General features: G+C 42.1%; 1 protein-coding gene across 1 annotated transcript; it reads left to right on the forward strand.

Moving 5' to 3' along the window:
• On the forward strand, window positions 97-2,581 carry GLUD2 (glutamate dehydrogenase 2). The gene has a single exon (NM_012084.4). The coding sequence runs from the start codon at window positions 172-174 to the stop codon at window positions 1,846-1,848; it is 1,677 nt and encodes a 558-aa protein (NP_036216.2). The 5' UTR covers window positions 97-171; the 3' UTR covers window positions 1,849-2,581.

Here is a 7,789-nt window from a genome sequence, read left to right on the forward strand (position 1 = left end):
AAAGTCCGTCCTCCCCGTTAGGTGGCGCCCAAGGGGAGGGGACAGCCGGGCAGGCAGGAAGCTGCGGCTTAAAAGGGCAACCCGCGCCGGACCCTTCCTTCCTAGTCGCGGGGAGTCTGAGAAAGCGCACCTGTTCCGCGACCGTCACGCACCCCTCCTCCGCCTGCCGCGATGTACCGCTACCTGGCCAAAGCGCTGCTGCCGTCCCGGGCCGGGCCCGCTGCCCTGGGCTCCGCGGCCAACCACTCGGCCGCGTTGCTGGGCCGGGGCCGCGGACAGCCCGCCGCCGCCTCGCAGCCGGGGCTCGCATTGGCCGCCCGGCGCCACTACAGCGAGTTGGTGGCCGACCGCGAGGACGACCCCAACTTCTTCAAGATGGTGGAGGGCTTCTTCGATCGCGGCGCCAGCATCGTGGAGGACAAGTTGGTGAAGGACCTGAGGACCCAGGAAAGCGAGGAGCAGAAGCGGAACCGGGTGCGCGGCATCCTGCGGATCATCAAGCCCTGCAACCATGTGCTGAGTCTCTCCTTCCCCATCCGGCGCGACGACGGCTCCTGGGAGGTCATCGAAGGCTACCGGGCCCAGCACAGCCAGCACCGCACGCCCTGCAAGGGAGGTATCCGTTACAGCACTGATGTGAGTGTAGATGAAGTAAAAGCTTTGGCTTCTCTGATGACATACAAGTGTGCAGTGGTTGATGTGCCGTTTGGGGGTGCTAAAGCTGGTGTTAAGATCAATCCCAAGAACTATACCGAAAATGAATTGGAAAAGATCACAAGGAGGTTCACCATGGAGCTAGCAAAGAAGGGCTTTATTGGTCCTGGCGTTGATGTGCCTGCTCCAGACATGAACACAGGTGAGCGGGAGATGTCCTGGATTGCTGATACCTATGCCAGCACCATAGGGCACTATGATATTAATGCACACGCCTGTGTTACTGGTAAACCCATCAGCCAAGGGGGAATCCATGGACGCATCTCTGCTACTGGCCGTGGTGTCTTCCATGGGATTGAAAACTTCATCAATGAAGCTTCTTACATGAGCATTTTAGGAATGACACCAGGGTTTAGAGATAAAACATTTGTTGTTCAGGGATTTGGTAATGTGGGCCTACACTCTATGAGATATTTACATCGTTTTGGTGCTAAATGTATTGCTGTTGGTGAGTCTGATGGGAGTATATGGAATCCAGATGGTATTGACCCAAAGGAACTGGAAGACTTCAAATTGCAACATGGGTCCATTCTGGGCTTCCCCAAGGCAAAGCCCTATGAAGGAAGCATCTTGGAGGTCGACTGTGACATACTGATCCCAGCTGCCACTGAGAAGCAGTTGACCAAATCCAACGCACCCAGAGTCAAAGCCAAGATCATTGCTGAAGGTGCCAATGGGCCAACAACTCCAGAAGCTGATAAGATCTTCCTGGAGAGAAACATTTTGGTTATTCCAGATCTCTACTTGAATGCTGGAGGAGTGACAGTATCTTACTTTGAGTGGCTGAAGAATCTAAATCATGTCAGCTATGGCCGTTTGACCTTCAAATATGAAAGGGATTCTAACTACCACTTGCTCCTGTCTGTTCAAGAGAGTTTAGAAAGAAAATTTGGAAAGCATGGTGGAACTATTCCCATTGTACCCACGGCAGAGTTCCAAGACAGTATATCGGGTGCATCTGAGAAAGACATTGTGCACTCTGCCTTGGCATACACAATGGAGCGTTCTGCCAGGCAAATTATGCACACAGCCATGAAGTATAACCTGGGATTGGACCTGAGAACAGCTGCCTATGTCAATGCCATTGAAAAAGTCTTCAAAGTGTACAGTGAAGCTGGTGTGACCTTCACATAGATGGATCATGGCTGACTTCCTCACTAACCTCTTCACGTGTAACTTCTGCAGACCTACCACAAGTTTACATGTAACCACAGAAATCCCTTTCTCTCCTGACTCATTACTAATGGATACCATTCTCAACAAGTCAATCCAAATCAGCCCGTTAAGGAGAAAGAAATTAATATACAAGCTGAGTGTGAAAGTAGAAATCACCTACACCAGAGAGCTATTTTGGTATTTTGCCTTTAAATAAAAAGCCTCCTCCATATGGCTGTGCAGCCTTGCTCTGTGGCTTTTCCCAGCACAATCAGTGCTAGTGCTGGGGAAGGGACAGTCAAGAGCAGTCAGTTGCTTACTTATTTTGCTCTGGATGAGTCTGGGACACGCTGTAACTTTAACACATTTAAGAAGAAGGTGTGTGGCCTTTTCAGAAGGTGGCATGGTCCTCAAGTGAGTTCTTAGTATTTTATATCAGCAAAATAACTCAATTTTGCAGATTGCAAACAAATATAAAAGCTGTTTCTGTTTATGAATTTTATTCTTTTAGAATAGAATAAGTACATGCTGCTGTAATAAAATTGCCTTTAATCACTTAACAAGCCTAACCTTGACTCAGTGAATGCCTATAAAAATAATAAATGAAAAAAAACAGTATTTTTATATCATAAAAGTTTCATTTGTAGCTTATCATTCACGTATTGTTGTCCAGCAAACATTAAAAGCCCTGTGGATAATTACGTTATCTTCATACCTGCAAAACGGTGGAGGCTATTTTCGTTAAAACTGTCAGAATTCGCTGTTATAATTATGACACATAGTCCAAAGAATGCAGTAACCTTTTTATCATGTTAACTAATTGTTCTCTTTTGAAGATCTATGGTTGACTAATTAAACAATAATTCAAGTAGAGTGTCCCAGAAAAAAACCACTTGGGCTCCCTGTTTGGAGTCTGGCTGGCTCTGAGCATTGCCAATGGCCCCTACTCACCTGACTTTGTATCCTCTTCTTTTAGAGGCTTTGCATTCTGCACCCAGCTTCACTAACAGTGGGCTGAAACCAACCTTGGGTTGAGTGTTTCATTTGGGAGTTATTTGGCCAGGGCCTTTTGAACAATAGTGTCCCCATGAAGTGCTAGATAATATATGTGTAAGAATCAGCTTTTTTTTTTTTAACTATAATATCCTTCAGAAATTTCTAACTACTTTGTAACTGCATGGCTTAACCTGGTGATAAAAGCAGTTATTAAAAGTCTACATTTTTTTTTAAAAAAAGAATAGAACAAATAATGGGAGCATTGGGTTGACCTTTGCAAATTATCTAGTTTTATTTACCTATTTTACACAGGAGAAGACTGAGAGAAGGGAGGAGTAGCTTGCTGTAGTTCAGACAGCAACTTATTTCAAAGCTGGTGCTAAAACCTAGAGTGAACTGGTACTTCTCCATTTCTGAAGGAAATGCAGAAGAAACAGAAGCAGAAAGACAACATTTTGGCCTGGACATATTTAACTTAAAGATGACTCCATTTTTGAACTTTATTTCTTGGAATAGAGTATCTTCTAAATTTAAACTGATCCAACTTTCACAAAATTGGGCAGTTAGAAGTCACAGAGGGAATTAGCAGCTGTTGTTATAAGAAAAAGCAAAGGGATTGTTGCCAGACTTCATAAATCTTGGCATATTTGAGAAAAATGTCCCAATTTGTTACATATGCTCATTCATGTGTGTAAACCTTTGGTTATAGTGCTTTGTCAATATAAATATGTTTTACATTATAAATTGGTCTGAGTGCTGGATTTCATGTTTATTATCCCTTAGAACCCCACTTTCTTTTGCTCTTCTTCTCGGGCTTTCTTTGCTTTATTTCTCCCACTCTTTTCTTCTTTTTTTTAGTGTACAAGCAGTGAAGGGTGCAGATCATGGATAGAGCTTTCAAGAAGTTTGTTCTAGTTCTTCTCCTGAAACTGGACCTCCCTCCTAGCTTGGTAACAACTACCTTATGGTCTCCACCTTGGACAGAGGTTTTTTGTTTGTTTGTTTGTTTGTTTTTGTTTTTTTTTTTGAGACGTAGTCTTGCCCTGTCACCTAGGCTGGAGTGCAATGGCGCCATCTCAGCTCACTGCAACCTCTGCCTCCCGGGTTCAAGCGATTCTCCTGCCTCAGCCTCCTGAGTAGCTGGGATTACAGGCGCACGCCACCATGCCGGCTAATTTTTGTATTTTTAGTAGAGACAGGGTTTCACCATGTTGGGCAGGCTGGTCTCGAACTCCTGACCTCATGATCCACCTGCCTCGGCCTCCCAAAGTGCTGGGATTACAGGCGTGAGCCACCATGCCTGGCTGGCCAGAGTTTTAAGAGCAAATCATATAAACTATTCTTCAGTGTAATAGAAAAGTAAATGGTATTTTTTTTTTTTTTTTAAAAAGGGAAACCAGGAAAAAGCAGTTTGAAGCCCAAAGTGAGGAAGTAACACAGCAATTCTCAAAGCTGGCTAGGTAGGGACTTTTTTCATATAGAAATAATCAGTAAACAGGCTGGGCGCGGTGGCTCATGCCTGTAATCCCAGCACTTTGGGAGGCTGAGGTGGGTGGATCCCTAGGTCAGGAGTTCAAGATCAATCTGGTCAAGATGGTGAAACCCCGTCTGTACTAAAAATACAAAAAAAAAACAAAAAAAAACTAGCTGGGCATGGTGGTGGGCGCCTGTAATCCCAGCTACTCAGGAGGCTGAGGCAGAGAATTGCTTAAACCCAGGAGGCGGAACTCCATCTCAAAAAAAAAAAAATCAGTAAACAGAAGTATATGTCCTGAAAAAGTAGTGTACAAGCATAAAGACATCATTAGTTAAACACTGGTTTATTCACTCAGGTTTTAGCACAATCAACTTCTCTGAGAAATTGGGAGATTTCAATGAGAGATTTCAGTAAGGACCGTGTTTGCTCTGTAAATGGACTCATCTCCGAGTTGCTTGCTCTGTGTCACAGTCATACCCCATAAAGAGTGAGTCAACAGGCATGCTGAAGCAGCAACAGACCAATGAGAAAAGGGAAGAAATCTGGGATTTAAGGGGCATGGAAAGATCCTGAAATATTTTTTCTATTGGTCTTTCCTAGCATAAGAAACATCAATTGTTAATCATTCCTTTGGTCTAGGCAGTACTTTTAAAACTTATTTTTAACCAGATAAATGGTTTGATTTGTCAAATGAAATCTTGTATGGAAACCCAATGTAGAAAACAGATGAAAACAGAGCTTCTCTGGCTGAAGCATCTCCACAAATCACAATTTGGAAAACATTCAGCTAAGGCATTGATGACTCCTTTGAAATGCATACTACCTGGGAAGTAGAACATACTAAGAACACTTTTGGGAAAATTAAGTAAGTCACATGTTAAAATACTGTATTAGCTTCTGGGAACTGTACTTTAAGCAGGACATAGAAAACCTGAGACTCATCCAGAGTAGGATTTCCAGGTTTCAGTGTTTCGTAGAGCAAGTGAAATTTGAAGTCAGAAGACTTTAATTCAAGTTTTGCCCCTGCTGTTTAGCACTTATGTGACCTTAGACAATTAGTCTCTGTGAGACGCAGCTTCCTTATCTGTACAATGGGGGTAATAATATCAATATCTAACAGGATTTTGAGGATTGAAAATAAATAATTAACTTTATCAAATGTAAAGTGCTGTATAATTTTTAATTTACTGATGAGTCTGGAAAACATGTGAGATGAGCCAAAAAGTGAAGGAACCAGATATATTTTAAGGAATAAAGATTTCTGGACACATGTGATAATTATCTTTGAAAATTTTAAGGTCTGATATGTGGAAAAATTAAGTTTGCTTTGTTTGTTCCTGATGGCACTGTGACCAATGTGTGGATGTGTCATGAGGGAGCATATTGGCTCAACATAAGAAAGGATTTTATAATTTCAAATAAAAGGGAGCACCACGAGTTATAGAAAACCTTGTCGTTGTAATTTTAGAGAGATTGCTGGGAGTCTACCTATTTGGGTTGCAGAATAAAGCATTTCTGCATTGAACAAGATGTAGTGACTTCAAAAGCCTGAGATTATTAATCCTCTTTTCCTTCTCCTTTTATTATATATCTTACAATTTTTTGACTGCTCAGTATCTATCCCTTCTTCTTCTGATAACAGCAGAACAGCCCCCGGGGAGAATTTGTGAACCAGTTACAATCAGTCATAGCATCACATTCTCATGGCCTCAGTGACTAATTGGTTTAGTGATAGATATATGACCCAAGCCAGGCCAAAATAGCTAGAATCTCAATTTTTGGACTTTTCTTGATCTACTGGGCATAAAAGTGTGCTGTTTCTGGTAGGAATGCTGATGACAGGTAGTAACTTGCAGCTGCTTGTAGCCATCTTGGCAATCCCAGGGGAGATCTGCCTGAGAATAGAGACAATGTGAAGCTAAGCAATGATCAGAGATACAGACTGAGATCAAGCCCTCATGACATAATTTGAACCCATAGCTCTAATCATTCCTAAAATAAAATTTAGACTTCACCTTTTACGTGAACCAATAAAGTTGCATTTTGAGGAAGTTTTTTGTCACTTGCAACTTAAGGAATCTCAATGGCCACATTAGCCCTCACCTCCAACTTTGTGTCTGACACAGTCGTCTCTGCAAAGCAACAGGAGGAAAGAAGGCTGTGGTCACATGTGTAAAGACAGTCCTAGGTTTGGAGAGGATGTGAAGGGCAGAGAATTCTTGTCCCCCACGTAACAGGAAGATGAAAAGTCCCCAAGGCTATTCTCATATATTCTGTCTAGGGGAGACAGTACATTTTTTGAGTTGCCCACTTTCTGCTTGCAGAGCTTTTGGCGGGACAGGGAGCCCTGCTCAAATTGTTAATTAGCAAATTAAAGAAAGGCTGCAGTTGCAAAACTTGTACTAGTTCTTTGTGTTGCTCATTGTATAAAGAAAGTAATTTTGTTTATATAAATACCTTGATGGGTCTTTTTTGTTGTTGCTCATGAAAAGGGTTAGGTTCTCAGGACAAGATCTGGAATGAGAGATTTGACAGAAAAGGGCAAAACCACCCTTTTATATATAACAACTTTGTGCCAGAGGTACTCTGTGCAAGAAAGAAGAGAGTCTGTGTATCCCAGTAGTGTTACACTGTGCTCAGAGACCAACTGAAGCCCCAGCCCTAAGGCATAGGGATATGAGATGCTAGGAGGAGGAATAATAATAGTTGAGTAGAGTAATGCGAATCTGCACACAAATCTTCACCCTAGGATAGCCTGGAAATACTGAAGAGTGTTTACCATCCCAGAGGATTTGTATTTAAGGCAAAAGGTGACACCAGAAGGCTCAAAAGCTTTGATACAGACATTTGTGTAGCACTTATTTTTGTCTATCTTGTCCCAAGCCCTTTCATGACTCTGTCCTATCTATGTAATTCTATCCCAGCTATTAAAAAAAAATAGCTACTAGTGATGACCCTTTCTCTGAAATTAGTCCAGACTACTTCTTGCTTTTTCACCTTAAACTTACTCTTAACTTTCCTGGTTTTCTACCCCCTTGGTAGCTCAGTGTCTTGTTCCTGACATTTACTTATTTTGGATAAGTTATTTCATGGTTACCTTAGCTCCATTTTTTTGGAAAAGATATGTTCTATTCACTTCTGGTTTCATAACTGTATAGGAAGAAATATGTATTTTTTTTCTGTCCTGGCCTTGTGATAACACCAGACAAGGCTTGTTCCCCTACCTCAGTATTCCTTTTAAGAAACGAAGACTGGAAAACATTTTTTTTCTCCAGACAGTTCATTTGTTCCATATGTTCCAAGAAAAGAATAAATATTTCTTTGTGAGACCTTAAGCCTTAGGGTAGGACCTGCGCCTTGATTTCTGTTTTTCTGCAGTTGCTACACTGACTATGCTTTTCCCAGACTTGAGAAATACTTTAGATGATAGTAAGGCTGTATATGGTA

This window comes from Homo sapiens, chromosome X (genome assembly GCF_000001405.40).
Source record: "Homo sapiens chromosome X, GRCh38.p14 Primary Assembly".
In the NCBI taxonomy this organism is placed as follows: Eukaryota; Metazoa; Chordata; class Mammalia; order Primates; family Hominidae; genus Homo; species Homo sapiens.

What these genes read in the sequence shown, in the direction of transcription:
- GLUD2 (NM_012084.4), top strand. Translation starts at nt 172, where the DNA reads ATGTACCGCTACCTGGCCAAAGCGCTGCTGCCGTCCCGGGCCGGGCCC.